The following is a 20,372-nucleotide window of genomic DNA, read 5'->3' on the forward strand; positions in this document are numbered from 1 at the left end:
CTTAGTGTCTTAACTTTTCTTGCATTATAGTACGCTGCTAAAAGGAAACCATTTAAACTAAAATATGACCATCATTTCAACAGTCCTCGAAAAATGTATAACTAAGTATACATTTATTAATCCAAGTGAATCTCTAGTTGGTATAATTTCTGTCAGGATAGCAAGAGGAAACTAAAAGTAATAAAATCCTCATACTGTGTGAATAGCACCAACTAAGATGCAGCTGGCTGTATTTGGGAAGACCTGGCCCTTTGCACATCTATACAAATAATCCTGCCCACAGAGTAAATTAGTCCACATTTATATAGCATCTCATGGCTTACTATGTTCTTTGACATATTATCTTAGTTGAAGCTCAGAAGCAACACCCTTAGCCAGCTACATCTTACAGATAAGTAAACAGGTTTGGGACTTAATCCAAGAATGGGTCCCAAATCTAAACTCTAAATCCTTTGAGTTTTTTTTCCATTAGTCTATCCGACTTGTACTTTCTTATATTCATAAACCTGAGGTTTACCAATTTGAACATACAGACATTCTCCCTCTCTCTCAGAAACAGCAATAGGAGCAAATTCAGCACAGGGGGTGGACATCAGAGAGCTTCTAGCAAATGTCTGTGTATGAATCATTTGTTAGACGTATATAAACTGGAAACCATTGTCACTAAATGGCTTTTGCCTACTTTTAAGATATTTTATAGTGTTTTAATTCAATAAGATATGATTAATTAAGAAATATAACCTTTATTTAAGTTATGGATAGTATCCTTAACTGTATTTTCAAAAAATTAAGTATAAAATTGTGATAACAGCCTAACAGTCATTAATTCAAACCAATCCCTAAATTGGCAGAAGTTCAGCTGGTATCAGTAAAACAATCAAATATTGCTACCCAGCTGCTCCTATTCCTATCTGCTCCACAAATACTGAGACATACAAGTCATTCTTTCATTTAACAAATATGTATTAAACACCTATGCACCTACCATGTACAAGACTGCCTACTAAATGATGGGAATACAGGTGTGAATAAGAGACAAGGTTTCCGGACTCACAAAACTTAAAATCTAGCTGTAGAGACAGACAATAAACAAAAGAAATTACAAAATGTGGTCAATGCTATGAAGGAAATACAGGCTGCTCAGACAAAGAATAACAAGGGACATCTCATTTAATAAATGACAGCAATTAACATTCACTGAGCACTTTGGATAGGGTAGTGAGAGAAAACCTCTCTGAAAAAATGACGGTTAAGTTCTATAACAAAAGAACAACAAGGAGACACCAATGTGATGACTGGGGAGAAAGGCTTTTTAGGCAGAAGGAATTTCGCATACCAGATCCTAAGTGGTAATCAAAAACCTAAAAGGCAGCTAGTGGGGCTGGATATGGTAAACAAGGGGAAGAGATGAGTATCTTTTACATGGAAAGGAAAATATGAGAAAGCTCAACTCAAATTATTGCTAGGAATTGTGGTATTACACATGGGCTCTTAGGCTAATATTTTGATTATCTGCTGGCATTTTTTACCTATTCCATCCTGTTTTACTTTAATAAGAGTCTGGGCCAGGTGCAATTCCTCACACCTGTAATCCCAGCACTTTGAGAGGCTGAGCCAGGAGGGCTGCTTGAGCCCAGGAGAATGAGAACAGTCTGGGCAACATAGTGAGACCCCATTTCTCAAAAAAAAAAAAAAAAAAAAAAGACAATTAGCCAGGCATAGTGGCGTGCACCTGTAGTCCCAGCTACTCTGGAAGCTTAAGCAGGATGATCTCTTGATCCCAGGAGTTGGAGGCTACAGTGAATTATGATTGCATCACTGTACTCCAGTCTGAGTGACACAGTAAGACCCCATCCCATGAAAAAGAAAAAGAAAAAGTCTAACATGAGGAACTCTTCTGATTTTTCACCTATTTGAGCAAAGATAGAATTAACTATTAACAAATTGACTTTGGTTTACCTACTAAGAAGTACTGTTTCCAAGTACTACAATTTTGCCTTTTCATTATCCAAAAAAAAAAAAACCAGTATTGTTAGTCTGAGTTTAATATTTCCAGTTTTTAAAATCCCCAGCCTCAAAAAGGGTGAAAACATTTTCATAATTAGATCCAAAGGCGAGAAAGGCAAAAGAATATAAATATTCTTTAACAACTAATTTTTTTCTATATTTGTTCACAATGCAGAAGGCTCAGACCCCATGGGTTTCTTCAGTTCTTGAAGAGAAAATCAATTTTTAAGTCACTCTCCTTATATACACATTTGCCTTTCAGTTCTGCCTTCCAATTATCTTTTTTTTCTCATTCTTCAAAGAAATGACAGGGTTTAGTCCACTGAATCATTTCCTTCTTACTGGATGACAGGCAAAAACATAGATGGGGTATCTCTACGTCAACCCCTTTAGTATCTGAATCTCAGAAGTTGTATCAAGCCATTGATTATTTGACAGCTACTGATGCCAAGACTCATCAACATAAATGGATGAAAGAACAACAGTAGCCAGCTTTTAACTTGTGATCACACTGAATATACAAAACATGCAGCTGAATTAGCCCCCTTTTGTCTTCCTCAGCTTTCACTAACTGACTGGTTTCTTCTTTAGAAAATGTCCAAAAATAATAGCAGTTTACATTTGAATGCTAAGTGCCAGCCACTGTTTTAAGCATATTACACACATTAACTTATTTAATCCTCAAAATAACCATGAGCTGAGGTACTATTACTTTCCCTATTGTAAAGATAAAGCTGAGGCAGAGAGGACAAGCAGCTTTCCAAGATCACAATACTTACCAAATACCTGTTTGGAGTTTTCCTCAAGTATTTTTAAACCACTTTGGTCCCAAAATCTTATGGTATTTTAACATTACTTACTGCTACCAGTCAGGGAGCTTAAGAGCATATGCTCAAGTTCACTTCACATTTGAGCTTGCCCTTTTATTAGCTGTGTAACCTTGGGTAAGTTACCAAACTTCTCTATGACTCAGTTTCGTTTATCCATAAAACAGAGATGACAATAGCATCTATTTCCTTGAGTATCTGTGAGGATTAAATGAGTTATATATGTGAAGTACTTAAGACAGTGCCTGGCACATAGTATGAACAAGTATTAGCTGTTGCTACTCATACTATCATGACCACCTCTACCTGGGAATTTAGCAAAAGGCCGCTTTATTTAATCTAGTCAGTATTTCTTCTCCAACATCTGCCATTTCTTTTGTTTGATTTACATCAACTAACAATGAACTATTCTTAGCAAGCAATGCACCTAATTGCTTTGCTACATTTTTCTAGTCCTTAACACTTCTTTCCTATTTCACCTGCCCAGGAGTGAATTGTTTGAGGTTAACAGGGTTGCATTATGCTATAGTTAAGTTCATAAGCCACTGAAATTCTAAGGCTAATGTCTAAATTTGTAATATAGCCAAATGGAGGAAAAAACTAAGCACTTCTCTATTTTAACCTCAAAAACAAAAACCACAAAATAGTGTGGTGTTTTGTTTGTGGAACAGATTTTGCACTACTAGTTTTAACTTAAAGATCAACAGCCTACAATGTTTTTAAATATGAATTAAAACAGTAGATTTAAATTACTAATTTATGATTTATTTTATAGGTCTTAATCTTTCATAGCAGTTTTGATTAAGCTCAGATATTAAAAATACAAAATTAGAAATACATTTAGAACATAACCTAATATGTTTTTAATTACCTCTACACTAAGACCACATTTTATTTATTTTTAAATAGAGATAGGGTCTTGTTATGTTGCCCAGGGTGGTCTCGAACTTCTAAGCTCTAAGCAATCAACCCTCCTCGGGCTCCCAAAGTGCTGGGATCACAGGCATGAGCCACCGCAACAGGCCGTGGACCACACCTTAGACTTCTCTTGAAACACCAGGTATTCAATATACACACAGGTCTAGAACCAGGTCCAAACTTGTACATCCTTGAGTCAAAGGTGGAATAACATTAAATTTTCCAGCTGCCCAGCTCTAGTCAGCTGTTAACATCACTTAAAAATCTAATTATTCCAGAAAGCTTAGTCCACCCATGTCATCCTCTACATATAGAAGCCATAATTGTAATAGCAAATGACAATATAAATACATTATACATATACTGCAAGTATCCTTCTGTAGCTTTTATATTTTCTCAGATAACTATATATTAAAAAATTATTAATCTGCTCGAGCCTTAGCAGTTTGAACACTATCAATGCAAAACAGAACAAAATAGCATTAGGTTATTAAACATTTCATTATTTATTTACCTTTGTTGAGTATATCTTGTAATTGACCAATATATAAGCATTTGTAATGCTTATATATAAGCTTATATAACCAGTATATAAGCATTTGTAATGCTTATATATAAGCTTATATAACCAATATATAAGCATTTGTAATGTTTATTTAACATAATAAACGATATTATTTATTTAATATCTGCTATGTGCCAAGCACGGTCATATTTCATTCTAACTGTGAGAAGTTGGAATTATTCCCATTTTACAGACAAGGAAACTGAGACTCTCAGAGATTATGTGATGAAGATTAGAGAGCAAGCAAGTAATGGAACAAGTATAAAAACACAGGTCTGCTAATGACAACATCTAAGACTCATCTTTGGCAGTGTTACCCAAGTAATGTTATATTATTGCTTAAAATTAATTTTTTTTACAGTACAGTAAAATACTATCGTACAGTAAAATACTATCGACTATTGTGAAATCTATCATGCTATACCATAACATCTTATTTCAAAGTACAGTAGAAACTCCTGACCTTCAGATAATTTTTTTCTATTGGCTATCAGTTTGTTTTTATGGAGGCTGTAGGGAGCAGAATTGACCAATGCTCCCCACACCTTCCATAAAAACAGCCAATAGAAAAAGAATTAAGGCATTTTTCCTGACCCCCACCTTAAACTTTTACAGTTAGCCAACCAACTACCACACCCAATCATGTACGATAAGAGGCTATTGTATTTATTTAGAAACTTTAACTCTTTGAAGCACAGCTGTCTTTCACAAAACTATAATCTGAGTCTCTACATTAAAATCCACACTTTACTCACACTCTGAATGAGCATCTGAGAAGTTCTCCTATTTATGTTCATCTTATAGAAAACTTAGTGTTAGGCCGGGCGCGGTGGCTCACGCCTGTAATCCCAGCACACTGGGAGGCCGAGGCGGGCGGATCACGAGCTCAGGAGATCGAGACTATCCTGGCTTACACGGTGAAACCCTGTCTCTACTAAAAATACAAAAAATTAGCCGGGCGTGGAGGCGGGCGCCTGTAATCCCAGCTACCGAAGGCTGAGGCAGGAGAATGGCGTGAACCCGGGAGGCGGAGCTTGCAGTGAGCGGAGATTGCGCCACTGCACTCCAGCCTGGGCGACAGAGCGAGACTCCGTCTCAAAAAAAAAAAAGAAAAAGAAAAAAAAAGAGAGAAAACTTAGTGTTAAGTACGGTTATCTAATTATCTAGCTCAGAGACTAAAAGCAGGAAAATTAAAAGGTGACAAGGATAAATATATTAACAACAAAAACTGTTGACAGCCAGGGAACATAAAAATCAGAATAAAAAAAGATAGGCTGAGATGGTTTAAACTAGAGACAAAAAAATCTCAAACCAGAAGCGTGAACATTTTTTAAATGTCTCCACATATCATGATTACAACTAAAAATATTTTGACGTTTAAAAAGTTTCAATTATCCAGAAAATTCATTTATATAGGATAGTTCTTTGGACACCAATGTAGTTTAAAAAAAAAAATGAAGTGTAACTGTTTTCTCGTTAAGAGTTGTCCATAACTCTGCCTTTCAAATTGCAGGTCATCATGACCCATTAATTGGTGAAGAAATCAATTCAATGGGTGGTGACAGCAATTTTTCAAAACGTGAAATAGAATAGAAAATACAACATTACATTGCGCACAGTAAGGGTAAGTACGTTTGTGAAAAGCTTATTTCAATATTTCTGTACTAGTTTGCTAAGTAAAAGATTACTTACACTGGTTTTAGTAAAAGAAAAAAAAAGCCATGGGTCTAAAGGTTTATGTTATTATTATGGAATATAATCACAATACTAAACTCACAATCCCATCATCTTTACCTGAGAATGCTAAAGAAAGCTACAATTTTTAAGGTGAAAACTTCTTTGGAAATCTTGATGAATAAATTTGTTTCCCCTAAAAATCTATATCAGTACGTAACTAAACATTTTATTGTGTTTAACACTAGTTTTGGCTGCAAATACTATTTTTAAAACTGCTTATGACTGTAAAGCAACTTTTCACAACAATTCAAAATAAATAGTGACTTTGATTTTATTTGCTTGTTTATTCTGAGAATCAATTACTAACCTTGGTGCCATTTTTCCAAAGTGATTGATGTAATCTAAAAATCTAAACTTGGCATTCTACACAAGGAACCTGCTCAGGAGCAATACACTTACTAATACTTGATACATACATAGCTGCTGCCTGATTGTATGTAATAGCCAACACCTAAAACTAATTTAAATCACTAAATTAAGTATGGTTTTCTCCAATTCCTTCTGGTGCATTTCAATAGACCTATTTTACCCAGAAAATTTGTCTAATCACTTTGAAAAAATATATGGAAAAACAACCAGTTTAATATATATAAATTTTAAAATAAGCATCTAATTCGTAGGATAAATTAACATTTCCAATCCTAAAGACTTGGATTTGGAAGGAAATCTGTCATCTAGTCCAGCCCCCTACCAAATAAAATAATCCCCACTTCACAATGTTCCTTGGAATCAAACTCATATCTGACTGAAAAGCTCTCACTACTAACCACTACTATATTAACATCTTCTAAAATTGGTTCTTGCCATTAATCAGAAGACTGATAAAGAATTACCTTGAAGTCCTTGAAAAGCAGTGTATATATTATTCTTATAAATCCTGAAAATACAGGTTTAGAAAAGAAGTGACATTTACTTATCACCAGGGATTTCAGTGGCCCAAACTGTCCATATGCTGGTATATTGAATACTGGAGTACTCTGCAAACTTTTGGAGTTTGCTTAAAGCACAAAAATCAACTAATCAAAGTAGTAATAAAATAACAGTTGTCAACTCAAGCTTAAGTTTTCTCTTCATTTTATCAAGTTCACATTCAAGTTTAAAAAGCTTATGAACTTCTTGAAAGTTGAAGTTAGATTGACTACCTAAAAACGAGCAAGTACAACTCTAAAATGATACCTGTATTGTGGCAACAGATACAAATACCATTCTTTACTTTCATTTTGAGATACACTAGAATCTCTCTTGAAGCTAGTGCTTCAGAAGCACTTTTGTAAAAACGCTTAACCTTCTCTTCCATATGCCTTTCTCTACCTCACCAGCTGGAATCTGTCACAAAAACAGATAATCACATATGATACAGAAATAGTTGATCCTACTGCAGAATTAGGTTAACACTTCTAAATTGAGGCATAGAAAAGAAGGGGGTGGGGGAACAAGCCCTACTTAAACAAATCATTTACCTCGGTCTGGCTTCATTTTCACATCCAATTTTCGCCCAGAGTGCTGTGAAATGCACCTGTGGGTTCTTTCAACAGGCTCGCCGCTGATTCTACGGCTTCTGCTTCGCTTTCAAAATGCTGAAAGAGACAAAAATAAAATTAATCTGGCCCTATTCTAATACCCGGACCTTGCAAGTAAACTACTGTTAAGTTAGGCCTCTTCCTGGCACCAACTGCGGTGACAGCACCCTCGGCTGGTCTGAAAAAAGCAAAACTCTCTGCACCGCCTCCCCCATCTCCTCCGGATCGAGCACCCCCTTCCCTGCCTCTGTGCTCTCCAGGCCAATGTGTCCTTCTGACACAGTCTCTGAACCAAAACAGGATCTATTTATAACCTGGAGGTACAGGCAAGAAGAAGAAAAAGATTTGAGCAACACAAACTAACCCCTTCGTACAAAAACGCCTCTGGAAACAGAGGCACCTCCGCAGGGCTGGTATGGAAATTCTTCCACCTGGTGCCTGGGCGCAGCCAACTCTTCCAGTCCCCTGCGCCTCCCGAGCCCTCCGCCCGCCCCGCCGGGCCTCACCTGTGTAATTACCCTCTGGCTAGCCTTCCTGCGGCAACCGCGGCCAAGTTTACACAGAAACCCGAGTCACCTCCTCCCGCCCAGCCCCCAGCCCCAAACGAACTCTTCCGGGCTGTCCCGGGGCGACCCTACCAACTCCCAACCAGTCCTCCGCGGCCGGCTCCGGGGGAGGTGTTTACAGCCTGTGCTCGCCCCCTGCTCTGCACAACCCCTTCCGTCCCGCCGCGGCCCCGGATTTCCTTCAGCCCCGCCGCACCGAGCGCCGCGTCTGCCCCTCTCCCCGCTGGAGAGTTGTTTTCATGGCGCTCTCGAGCTGGCCGGCTCCTCCGCTCCCTCGGCCGACCTCTGCTGACTAACTCGCTCTCCTCTCCCGTCCCAATCCCGCCTCCTCTTGGCACTTCTCTCCACCGCTCGCCCAGCAGCTCACATCACACTCCCACCTCAGACCCCAGGCTCCGAGAGGCGCAGGGCCAGCGGGAGCGGAGTATGGAGCGCAGCGGCCCCCGCGGCTGCCTCAGGTGACCGTGGGGACCCGAGACGACCAGCCCGAAGCGGCTCCCCGGCGCCCCTGTGGCCATCCACCCGCGCCTCAGCCACCGCCTCGCTCCGCTCCCTGCGCTCAGCCCCTCCGCCCTGCCTGACTGGCACCCGAGCCCCGCGACCCCCGGGCTTCCCCCGCCCGTAGCCCCGGCCGGCCCTCTTGCCCAGCGCCTCTGCCAGCTCCTTGCCCGCCCGCTGTCTCTAGCTCTGGCGCCCCGGCTCCCCGTCCCCCTCGCTCGGCCAGTTCTTTCTCTGCTGTTTGCCCTGTCAAAACACTGCCTAGGTCACGTGTCCCAACAACAGCCAACCCACCCCGGTCGTCACTTCCTCCCCGGCGGCCTCCGCGGCCCTGGCGCCCGGTTACTATGGCAATGCCGCCGCTCGCCCCGGGGCGCTAGTTTGGGGCCGGGTTTTCGGTGCAGGTGCCCGGCGGGTGCGAGGGCGCTGGAGATGGCGGCTGGGAGACACCAGCAGAGTCCCGGAAGCCCGAGACGTCCCAGGCACTTCGGTTGCGCTCCCAGCCGGCAGAGGCGCGCCTGGATTCTGAGACCAGGAATCGGAGCTGCGCTATTAGAGCGCAGGGTAACTGGGGAGATGTCATCCAAAGGCCTGCCCCAGACGTGGAGGATAATTATAGTCGTCGTCTCCTCCTCCTCCTCCTCCTCCTCCTCCTCCTCCTCCTCCCCCCTCCCCCTCCTTCCCCCCCTCCTCCTCCTCCTCCTCCTCCTCCCGGGATGCTGGCACAGAGTTGTGATCGAGCCCCAAGTGGATTGCAGCGCATAATGGAACCCGGGTTTAATGTGACCGGGACGGGGGGTGGGCAGCTATGCGGGTCAGGGAGTGGGAGAATTTAAGAACAGGAAGCCCACCCCCACCCTAGATTTTCCCAAATCACTAAGGATTTTAGTAGGATTCAGAACCCAAGCTTCCAAGACACTCGCTGTGCTAAAAATAATCTTCATAACTTCTAAAACACTGACTCATGGGCAGGAGGACACTTTGACAGCATGTTATTGTTGGGGAGCTGTAATTTTGTTGTTGTGCTATAGCAATGTGACATGATGGCATTTCATGTTGTGATGTTGTCGTCATTTAAACACAAACAGATGACAGGAATCTGCTGTACTTAAAAAAAAACCCAATCCTAACAAGCGCTGCAGCTATTAGCTACTCAGTCTATAGACAAAGTACATATGGGGCATGAGCCCAAATGGAGACAAGTAAAAATTTGCAAGGCTCTTTGGTTTCATTAGAAAAAGTTTTTTTTTTAGATATAATTTTGCATAAAAGGATCACAGGAAAGTATTAGGACAAGTCTAAGGGGATTTTTTTTATTTGTGCCCTTCTGTTTTAAAATTTTTTTTACAATGAGTCTATTATTTTCACATCAGAAGAGTTTTATAAACTGCAAGATTGGCAGTTCCATTTTTTTGGCCTCAGGTAAAGTTCTTATGAAAAAGGCATGAAATATTTAAAAAGTAACATTTTCTAGTGCTTAGATATGTACAGTAAAATAACATGTACAACTGAAATTGTTAACCTTAACTCCACGATTGTATCTAATCAGAGCGGAGAGAACATTCAGGAGGGTAACATTTCATTTTCTCTGAAATGTTCTGGCATCATGACGATGAAACTGACAAATGGAAACAGTTCTTTAATCTATAAAATGCTACAAATGTTAAATCCCAGTGGATTTGACTTTGATATTATTGAATACTGTATTATGTAGTTTTTAAAAAATGAACTGAAGTTTTACTTGTTCTACAAGCACTTGGTAATGGGAGACAGAACAGTTACAGATAAGCCAAAAACCTAAATTTAGCACAACAGCTGGGACCAAATAACAGCTATTGTAAAAGGCTTACTGGGTGAACAGGCAGCAAAATCTGGTTTAGCTTCTTTCTTCCTCTATCTAATGCAAAAGAGGTAAAAAGACCAGGAAATGTTGAGAGCAGAAGCCAAGACTATTAGTGTGTAGCACAAACTATTCTCTTTTAAATAATTTTTAACAGCACTTGGGTAAATGATGATGTCAACATTTGTTAGACTAACCTGAAGTTTTTTTAAATTTAGAATCTTAAACCTGTTCAAAAATTTGAAATCATTATGGCAGCAGAAAAAGTATTTAAAAGGTGTATTTCTGACTCATTATTCAAATTGTTTCATTCCATAATATGCATTTACTGAATACTACCTGCTAGGCTCATACAAGTCTCTGAGAATGTAAAGGTCACCAAAACCAGATAGGGTCACTACTTTCAAGGAGCTTATAGTACTATTACAGTTACATGGCCCTAATCAAGTCACATTCTAACACCTTTGTTTCACCTATAAAAGTGAGGTGTTTAGACTCTGACAATAGTTATCGCTTTCTTTTATCCTATGATTATGTAACACATGTTCAGAGCGTTTGGAAATAATGACTTGAAATGGCAATTCACTCTAAGGTGCTCTGTTCACACCTCAGAGCACATAAACAGAACAAATGTTTCTAGTTCCTAGTTGGTGAAGGGTAAGGGTAAGCAAGGGAATCAAGATAGCTGGCAGGAACCTTACCCTCTTTTCATCTGATTTGCTTTCCATTTTGCTTTCCCCTAGGGTTTCAAAGCCGTATATGAGTAATTAACTTCAAAAAAAAGTTAACTCATCTTCAGCAACTCATCTTCATCCCCTCAACTTTTACAGATTTTGTTGAAATGGGTGGTGTATGATCAATCTGTAATGACTGTCTCTAAGTTCTTTTACTTATTAAGGTGATGAGGATAACTGGTTTGCTCACTTTATGAATACAAGGCTGTTACGATGACCAAAGTCATGGAACCAGTCCAGGCTACCAGGATGAGCTCCACCAGAGCAGGGATTGGTACCTTCTTCTTTCTTGTATCCCTAGCACTTAGTAAAGAACTGGATATAAAGTAGGAGCTCAATAAATATTAACCTATGTATTCTCTAATATGCTTTTCTTGTGCATGCCTGTAGTCTGCATGTCTAATACTGGCTGGCATTTTCTCCCTAGTGGGATAAAGGTAGAGTTGAGAAATTGGTGGGTAGCACAAATTTCATTTGTAAATGACACATTTTCATTATACTTTTGGGGCAATGTATATATTATATGTTGTCTCATAATAGTAGGAACCCATTGTGGGTTGAAATGTGTTCTCCCCTCAAAAAAAAAAAAATTGTGTTGCAGTCCTACTCCCATCCCCCATCTGTGAATGTGAACTTAGATATGTACAGTAATGAAGTTAAGATGAGGTGGATTATTAGGGTAGATTCCAAATCCAGTGACTAATGTCCTGATAAGAAGGAGAGGTTTGAAGGTAGAAGACACACAGGGAAGATGGCCATGTGACTAAGAAAAAGAATGGAGGTTCTGAATGGTTACTCAAACATGAAGATCTTTAATTCTGTAGAAGTTAACAGTAAATGAGTGAAAAATGTTAAGATATCTCTAGTATCTTAAAAGAACAACTCTATGACCCATAGCTAGAGGATAATCATGAATAAGTGGTTGAGAGTCAAATGAAGATACATTATTTTAAAGATGGTAATCAGTACATCTTATTTGCCATGAAATATTGTAGAAATAAAGATGAGTAGAATTAAAATGTATAAATAAATCTGTTCTTGCAAAGTTAAAAAGAAAAATGTACTTTTAGTACTTGTTGAAACAAGATGAAATGCAAGCTATCTTTTCCATATCTAAATTGTTTCTGATTATCCACTTAAATTCAGTACAGTTAATTTCTAAGAGAGAAAGATCATGGAGTCATTGCTAAGGCATTGGCTTCTGTAAACAACCTTCTACCTTCACATAAGTTGGTTGTCTGGTTTATTCTTTTTTGAGGTTCCTGTTTGTCTACCCTCTAAAACCACAGGTATAAGGAAGTAAAAATGTATTCTTTCTGGTCCCAGTCTGCGTAAGTGTCTTAGGGCTTAGAAATACAAGGGCCTCTAAACTTCAAGGTGGATAAACCTTTAATTAACCTGACAATTTTGCTGAGCTGCTGGAGGTCTCCGACCCACCAAGACTTAATGTCTTTTTAAAGAATAATAATGGCCGTTTTTTGTGACAGTAACTGTGCTCAGCATTTTACATATATATTTGATCCAAAGAGGGTGATAACTATTTCTCAGATTAGGAAATTGAGGCTCAGAGAAACAAGTAACTTTCCCAAAGCTATATTTAATAAGTAGAAGGCAGCCGCTTCCTGAATGGACTCATTTAATTTCCACTACAATATTCTGAAATAAGTTAAATAATTTCAAAATTTTCAAGTGGGGAAACTATGGCTCAGAAATGTTGAGAAGTGGTTCTGCATTTAGAATTTAAATTGGTTGATATACACTTAGGCTTAGTGCTTTAAGATATAAGCTCTAAATCAAACAGCTCTGGTTGATGTGTTATATGCACACCCCAAAGAGCAAATGGTCATGCTCAGATAATAGCAGCTGAAATTTCTTCAGCACTTAAGTCATAAGCACTATTCTGAATGATTTATATATTTATTAGTCCATTTAATACAACATCCCTATGAAATAGTATTATCCCTACCAAATACACAGAAAAGGGGAAGTTAAATAATTTGCCCAAGTTTAAGCAGTTAGGCAGTAGCAGAGTCAGGATTCACACCTAGTGAGCATGACTTGAGAGCATACGTTCTTACCCACTATCTGTTACTGGTCTCTTAGTTTCATTTTCCACCCAAACCCTGTATCTTCCTGACACTGGGCTTCTGCCCTACATGAGATCCCTCCCCAACTACTATGGAAACCCTTCTGGACTTTGAAAGCCCAAAGTTTCACCTCAAAATGTCTTTTAGAACCCATACACTCATACACACCATCTCTGTCTTTTTTCTGAACACATATTTATGATCTTAAAACCACATATTCCTTTTATCTTTTAAGGGCAGATGGACTGACTTCCAATTCTTTTGTCTTTCCTTATTGAATAGCACTATCCTAGGCACAAAGATTCAAGTGATTATTGAAGATCCAAGGCTGTCACTATTCTCTAGAACTGCTCTGGCCAATACAGTAGCTATAGTCATCTGTGGTTATTGAGTGCTTGAAATGTGACTAGTGAAACTGAGAAACTGAATTGTTAATTTTAATCAATTTAAATATAAATTTTCAGCTGGGCATGGTAGCTCATGGCTCTAATTCTGGCACTTTAGGAGGCCCAGGTGGGAGGCTTGCTTGAGGTCAGGAATTCGAGACCATCCCGGGCAACATAGGGAGACCACTGTCTCTATAAAAAAGTTAAAAAGTTAGCCAGGCACGATGGCATGAACCTGTAGTCCTAGTTACTTAGGAGGCTGAAGCAGGAGGATCACTTGAGCCCAGGAGTTCAAGAATGCAGTGAGCTATGATTGTGCCACTGTACTCCAACCTAGGCAACACTGCAAGATCCTGTTACTAAAGACAAACAAATAAATTTTTGATAACTGAACTCATTTTTAAAACTAAGTATGTTTGGAACAACTGACTATATGAATCTAATTTTTTTTACACTTGATCTTAGCCAAAAGGCCAAGAAGTGAATCTAATTTTTTAACTGCCGATTTTAGGAAATCTAAATACAGATCAGGTTTTCTTTCTTTCTTTCTTTTTTTCAAATTTTTAAAGTTCTTTAAAGAGACAGAGTCTTGTTCTGTTTCTCAGGCTGGAGTACAGTGGTGTGATCCTAACTCAAGCAACCCTCCTGCCTTGGCCCCCCAAAGTGTTGGGATTACAGGCATGAGCCACCATGCCTAGCTCCACATCAGGTATTTCTAATGAGAATTGAACCTACAAATTGAAATGTAAGTATAAAATATACAGCAGATTTCAAAGACAGTGGGAAAAAATGTACAATATCTCTATTGATACTTTAAAAATATTGATCACATGTTGAAATGGTAGTACTTTAGATATGTTGGGTTTATTTTTAATTTTTCAAAATGTGGCTAATAGAAAATTTAAAGTTATATATGTAGCTTACATAATATTTCTATTTGCTGTAGGATTCAGTGGCTTACCCAGCACTTCAGAAGACATTTGAAAATCAGTCATGTTCCTCAACCAAGTGATGCCTTTTAGCGGTGCAAATTCTGTGCTTAGGAAACTTGCTGCTTGCCCTAATCTTTTCTTTTTTTGTTTTAAAATGTGTCATGTGGCATTTAATTGTCCTCATCTTATCAAGGGTTCAGTGCACCCTAATGAGACTTGAATGCATCACAAAATGGTAAGGGCACAGCCTAGATATAGTAGGAACAATGGTGAACAACCCTTCTGAAAACAGGCTAGATTCAGTAGAGTTTTTTTTTTTTGTTTTGTTTTGTTTTGTTTTTCTAAAACAGGGTCTTGCTCTGTTGCCTAGGCTGGAGTGCAGTGGTGTGATCTTGGCTTGCTGCAACCTCTGCCTTCCAGGCTTAAATGATCCTCCTGCTTCAGCCTCCTGAGTAGCTGGGACTGAAAGTACATGCCACCACACCCAGCTAATTTTTATGTATTTTGTTGAGAAGGAGTTTTGCCATGTTGCCCAGGCTGGTCTTGAACTGCTGGGCTCAAGTGATCTGCCTGGCCTCGGCCTCGCAAAGTGCTGGGATTACAGGCATTTGTTTTTTAGAGACAGGGTCTCACTCTGTCACCCAGGCTGGAGTGTAGTGGAGTATCTTAGCTCATTGTAACCTTGGACTCCTGTGGGCAAATTATCCTTCTGCCTCAGCCTCTGGAGTAGGTAGGCCTACAGCCGCCCATCACCATCACCACCATGCCCCGCTAATTTTTTAACTTATTTGCCAGGGTAGGGCAGAGGAGTTCTCGCTATGTTGTCCAGGCTGGTCTCAAACTCCTGGACTCACTCAAGTGATCTTCCCACCTCAGCCTCCCCCTGGGATTACACAAGTGAGCCACAGCACCCACTTTAGGTTCAGTAGAGTTTTCATATAAATTAATTTTCTCTTCATACTTATTAGAGGGTCACACACAGAACTACCTACCCAAACAGTGTGAGCTATTTTTAGAAGCAGTGATGGGTAGACTTCACTCTAAGCAGCTTCACTCTTCATGAGCTGGTAGAGATACTGTTTATTATAAATGAAGTTACTGATCCTTTACATCTTTTCATCAGAGTATATCAGTTCATTGCATCCTAATGAGAATTCCACAATAATACTTTTCATGGTTAAAAAGATTTCATACATTGGACTTGAAAAGTAGATATAAACAGCAGCAGTGATCTCCATTTCAAAATGTGCAATATAAACTGATCGGGTATTTCAGAAAAGCATTTTTGAACAGAGTTCTACCCTTCAAAAAGATTTGTAAGAGAAATCTTTTCTAAGGTTACTGTCTCAATTTAAGAAAGAAAAAGGTTTGTAAGAATGCATAAAAACTACAGAAATTCCCTAACCCCTTTTCACAAATGGGAAAACTCATAATTGAGACTAAATTCTTCACATGTAGTAGATAGAGCATGATAAAACAACTTGTAGTACCTTTTTGATAAATCCAGTTTCTGCTGCTTCTATCAGAACCCCAAAGCTCAATTAGGCATAGAGAATTCTAGGAGCTATTCCTTTATTTGCTGACTGTATATATCTCAGTTTTCCTTTTGCATTTTCAGATGGGGTCTTGCAATGTTTTCCAGACTGGTCTCTAACTCCTGGGAGCTCAAGCGGTCCTCCTACCTCAGCCTCCCTAGTAGCCATGGTTAAAGGCATGCTCTACTGTGCCTGGCTCTGAATAATTTCATGCTGCCATGCTTCAGAGAAAAGAGAACATTAGCCTTCTTATTTCAACTTGCACAGGCAAATTCTTTACCTGCAACTCAAAATAATTGGTCTTTATTTCTAAAATGTCATTTCTGTATAATATAAGTTTAATTCAATTCTGCATTCATTGAACTTTGTATGCCAAATACTTTGCTGGGCCCTAGAGATACAGAGACTAGAAAAGCAAATGTTTACCCCAAAAAGCTCTATCAATCTAGAAGGGAGACAGTCATGTTAATAAATAATTGCGGCCGGGCGCGGTGGCTCACGCCTGTAATCCCAGCACCTTGGGAGGCTGAGGTGGGTGGGTCACGAGGTCAGGAGATCGAGACCATCCTGGCTAACATGGTGAAACCCCATCTCCACTACAAATACAAAAAATTCTCCGGTCGTGTTGGCGGGCGCGTGTAGTCCCACCTACTCCGGAGGCTGAGGCAGGAAAATGGCGTGAGCCCGGGAGGCGGAGCATGCAGCGAGCCGAGATCCAGCCACTGCACTCCAGCCTGGGCGACAGAGCGAGACTCCGTCTCAAAAAATAAATAAATAAATAAATTGCAATTTGGTTTGATAACAGCAAAAATATTCGTGCATAAGGAAAACACGTGGCACAAAGAAGGAAAAGTTAATTCTCTCTAGGAGAGGGGCCTGCTAAGGAAAGAAAAGAACATATTAGCTATATTTTGGAGAATAAAGACTGAGGTTAGACAGGCAAAGTGGGGTAGGATGGTGGAAGCTATTCTTCACAGATGAAACAGCATGTCACTGAGGCATGTTAGAACATATCAAGATGCCATTTTGGAAGGTCAGTTTCAAGGAGGTTAAACATAAGCAATAGGTACAGCATTAGAGAGAGGTTTTTTTTTGTTTGTTTTTGTTTTTTGCCGTTAGCCCCAGTCTTCATTCCTCCCCACATCCATGCCTTTGGCAGGTAACTGCAGTCCCTCCCATTAATAGGTCAGAGTATATGTCCCAGCTTTTTGTTTTGCTACATGAATTGCCCTAATGAAGAGAATGAGGCTGAAGGGACAGCATGCTAGCTCTGAGCTAAATCTTAAGAAATCTTGCCTATTTCCTCTGTTGTTGTCTCTGCCATTACCATGAAAAGCAGATGCCTAGGCTAACCTGCTGTTCCCAGGAGGATGAGAGACATGTGGAAGGGACTGGAACTGATTCACACATCAACCCAATTTTGATTAGCAGAACCATCACAGCTGACCCGTAGATTCATAAGATTAAGTTATTGTTTAAAGCTGCTAATTTCTGGAATGGTTTGTTATGCATCATTGTTCTAGCAATGGCAAACCAAAGTAGCTATAGTAGTGAATTTGGAATTTCTTGTAGATGACAGAAAATGACAAAAGGTTATAATAAATAGATTGTTTCAGAAAGATTGCTTCAACAACAGAAGATGGAGATGGGAAGAGAATGGTGGGGGATGTGGTAGCAAAGAAGCTATTCCAATGATCCAACCTCAAGATCATGCAAATGTGAACTAAAGCAATGGCATCAGGATGGAGCAGAGAAGATGGACTGGAGAGAGTTTTAGGAGGTAGAAGTGATAGAACTCTGGTGGTGACTGGCTGTAGGGAAAGAGGTCAATCATCCATCCTCCTCAGAATAGTTGGCAGGTCACCGTGTACTTTAAGATAGGAAATACAAGAGAAAGATCAGATTGGCCACTGAGGGATGGGGGTTGGGGAGAAAAGGAGAAAAAGTACTTAGTTTCAGACATATTACATTTGAAAAACCATAGCATCTAGACAGACATTCTGAAGACAGAAAAAGATTCTGCTCTGGGACTTCAGGATGAGGTTTTATCTGAAGGTATAGTACTGAGAAGCCATCAGCCTGTAAATGGTGGCTGCTCCATGGGAGTAGATGAAGATATTGGTGTCATGGGCTATCAGGAAGGACAGGGTGTTTAGCTATGTTGGCTGTTGTGGAAAAGTCGAATAAGACAAGGACTGAGAAATATCTTTTTGATCTGGCAATCATGTCACCCAAAAGAGAAGGAATAACTTTGAAACTATTTTTACAGATGGAGGAAGGTAGCCTGGGCCCAACTGAACTCACTGTGTATTCAGAAAATAACCCACAGTTGGGAAATTCACAGTGCCATTGCTTTGAATCAAATCCTTACTTCATACCAGGTCAGTATGGTATAATTCTGAGAATAGTTAGTAGCTTTATCCCAGGCACATATTTTGGGAATTCAACATCGTTTGTACTATATTCCCCCCAAAAAACATTATCCATGATCTCGGTGTGTGCCAGCAAAATCCAACATGCAGAGATTTTGCAGAAATTGTTTTTCTGAGAGTAATATACTTCAGAAATGTTTGATTTATAGGCAGCCACATATGAAAAACTAAAAAATGTTCCTAGCTCTTATTCATAAATATACATGTATTGAATTTCTTTGCAGTGTGCTATATACATGACATTTTCCTCTCAGTAAATTATGGCTCATTTCTGTCTCTTCATCAGGATGTACCATGATTCTTGGCAACATGACTGGGTATTGATGTCTTGTCTAGCCAATGAAATCCACATAGCAAAGATGTTATGAAGACATGGAAACATGAATATGAAATAAAATCAGTATAGCTATTTGGATGATTAGCTATCGACACAAGACAGTCCCTGGTAATTGCCTTTAATAGTAAGGTAGCACTAGGCCATGAAAGGTGCTTCAGTGTACCTGCCTCATTTGTGGCTCCCTTTTGGCCATGTGACCCTAACTCCCCTGGTCACAAGTGGCTGAACCAGCAATCAATACCTGACCTGAAGGCAACCCTCTATAGGCTGGCAAGTGGCCTACAAAGTTGCTCAGTGCTAGAGAACTGAGCCCAACAGAAGTACATTCTAATGTTTAGTGATTGGCCAATCGTATTCTTTGTGATGGTGCTGATGGGAAGGTAGTGATGTGCATCAGACATGCAGAGTTAGTAGCAGCTGGAGCAGACACAGAAGCCTCCCTAACAATGGGCAATGGAGAAAGGAACAACAGACAGTTCTGAAAGAATACCAAGTGCTCCTAAGCCAAAAGCTATAGTTAGGCTGCTGGAGGTACTGCCAGTCCTAAATGATGGCAATGATGGTCCATTTTTCTGTGAAACTTGACTGTATACCTGTTAAGATTTTTTTGTGTTCTTTTTAAGGCTCCATGAATGAATCTTTCCAATAAACAAGTTTGTAACAAAGGCAACCTGAACATTTCTGATACTTGAAACTTGAAAATATCTAATACAATTTTACATCACTTTCAAATCATGAGTGAAGAAGTTAATGTGTTATTGAATTAGATTCCCTATACATATGTCAGTTACTTATTCAATCAATAATATGTACTGATAACCTACTATGTGCCAGACATGTACTAGCATTAGGAATTTAGTAGTGAACAAGATTGACATGACTCCAGCCTAGATTGTGCTATGGTCTAGCCTGGAGTATTTAGACTCCTTGGGTCTTAATACATACGGAGAAACCTGAATGTATGTCAGAAGCATGTGATCTACATTTGTTTGCTTTCGTTTTAAATATTCATGGTTTCCGAATATATTACATGAATAAGGATGTAACATTAAAACCCATGTGTTAACATTTTAATCTAAGGATATTTATATCAAAGTACAGCTTAGTTCAGAGCTTTCTAAATTTTAGTACATCTGAAACAAAGTGAACAACAGAAAGAAGGTTAACAAAACCATAAACTGTTAAGTAGAACATGGCCCCTAAGTAGAGCCAGAAGTATAGTACTGTAACAAGATGACACTTGCAGAATCCAACAGAAGAAGAGAATAAAATGATGACATTTATATGCTAGCATTTTGCAACAGTGGTAATGTGCCACCTGTAAATGAAGTGAATCCTGGAAATAAAAAGGCTGGCCATTTTTCCTCATCCTGAGTAAAAGATAAACTGAAAATTAATGGCATGGATTGCTCAAGATAACAGACTGAAAATAAAGATACAGGTGATTCATT

The 20,372-nt window shown here is 39.4% G+C and overlaps 1 protein-coding gene and 1 long non-coding RNA gene across 43 annotated transcripts in view, besides 5 other annotated features; one reads left to right on the plus strand and one right to left on the minus strand.

The window, feature by feature from the left end:
- Positions 1–20,372, minus strand: part of ATOSA (atos homolog A) — a 128,495-nt gene that overhangs the window by 89,171 nt on the left and 18,952 nt on the right. For 7 of the 38 annotated variants that reach the window (NR_169543.1, NR_169542.1, NR_169549.1 and 4 more), the window contains exons 1-2: positions 7,939–8,266; positions 7,515–7,631 (exon numbers count right to left, since the gene is read on the minus strand). Coding sequence is in view for 17 of the 38 variants with exons in the window: in XM_047432858.1 (XP_047288814.1) it covers positions 7,515–7,530 (16 nt within the window). In the remaining 21 variants the exon portion in view is untranslated. Of the gene's footprint in view, positions 1–7,514; positions 7,632–7,819; positions 8,267–8,336; positions 8,898–8,932; positions 9,224–20,372 lie in introns of those variants that run through there. The other 31 variants (NR_169536.1, NR_169544.1, NR_169541.1 and 28 more) reach the window with 10 other exon arrangements.
- Positions 1,101–1,602: an enhancer, noted in NCBI's record as "NANOG hESC enhancer chr15:52963789-52964290 (GRCh37/hg19 assembly coordinates)". NCBI's record gives its function as "activates a minimal SCP1, AML or CMV promoter by ChIP-STARR-seq in naive H9 embryonic stem cells {active_cell/tissue: H9 hESC(naive)}" and the evidence as "EXISTENCE:reporter gene assay evidence [ECO:0000049][PMID:30033119]".
- Positions 7,593–7,662: an enhancer, noted in NCBI's record as "active region_9435". NCBI's record gives its function as "activates an Ori minimal core promoter by ATAC-STARR-seq in GM12878 lymphoblastoid cells {active_cell/tissue: GM12878}" and the evidence as "EXISTENCE:reporter gene assay evidence [ECO:0000049][PMID:35858748]".
- Positions 7,793–7,932: an enhancer, noted in NCBI's record as "active region_9436". NCBI's record gives its function as "activates an Ori minimal core promoter by ATAC-STARR-seq in GM12878 lymphoblastoid cells {active_cell/tissue: GM12878}" and the evidence as "EXISTENCE:reporter gene assay evidence [ECO:0000049][PMID:35858748]".
- Positions 8,513–8,832: a silencer, noted in NCBI's record as "silent region_6450". NCBI's record gives its function as "represses an Ori minimal core promoter by ATAC-STARR-seq in GM12878 lymphoblastoid cells {active_cell/tissue: GM12878}" and the evidence as "EXISTENCE:reporter gene assay evidence [ECO:0000049][PMID:35858748]".
- Positions 9,114–19,591, plus strand: LOC105370821 (uncharacterized). 5 transcript variants are annotated; one of them, XR_932254.4, is made up of 5 exons: positions 9,114–9,202; positions 14,291–14,852; positions 17,759–17,932; positions 18,422–18,533; positions 18,871–19,591. It is a non-coding gene; the product is annotated as an uncharacterized LOC105370821 (long non-coding RNA). The 5 variants fall into 5 exon arrangements; XR_932252.4 differs by having other exon boundaries at positions 17,759–18,533; XR_932255.4 differs by lacking the exon at positions 17,759–17,932.
- Positions 16,771–17,271: an enhancer, noted in NCBI's record as "H3K4me1 hESC enhancer chr15:52979459-52979959 (GRCh37/hg19 assembly coordinates)". NCBI's record gives its function as "activates a minimal SCP1, AML or CMV promoter by ChIP-STARR-seq in primed H9 embryonic stem cells {active_cell/tissue: H9 hESC(primed)}" and the evidence as "EXISTENCE:reporter gene assay evidence [ECO:0000049][PMID:30033119]".

Source organism: Homo sapiens, chromosome 15 (genome assembly GCF_000001405.40).
Source record: "Homo sapiens chromosome 15, GRCh38.p14 Primary Assembly".
Taxonomy (NCBI): Eukaryota; Metazoa; Chordata; class Mammalia; order Primates; family Hominidae; genus Homo; species Homo sapiens.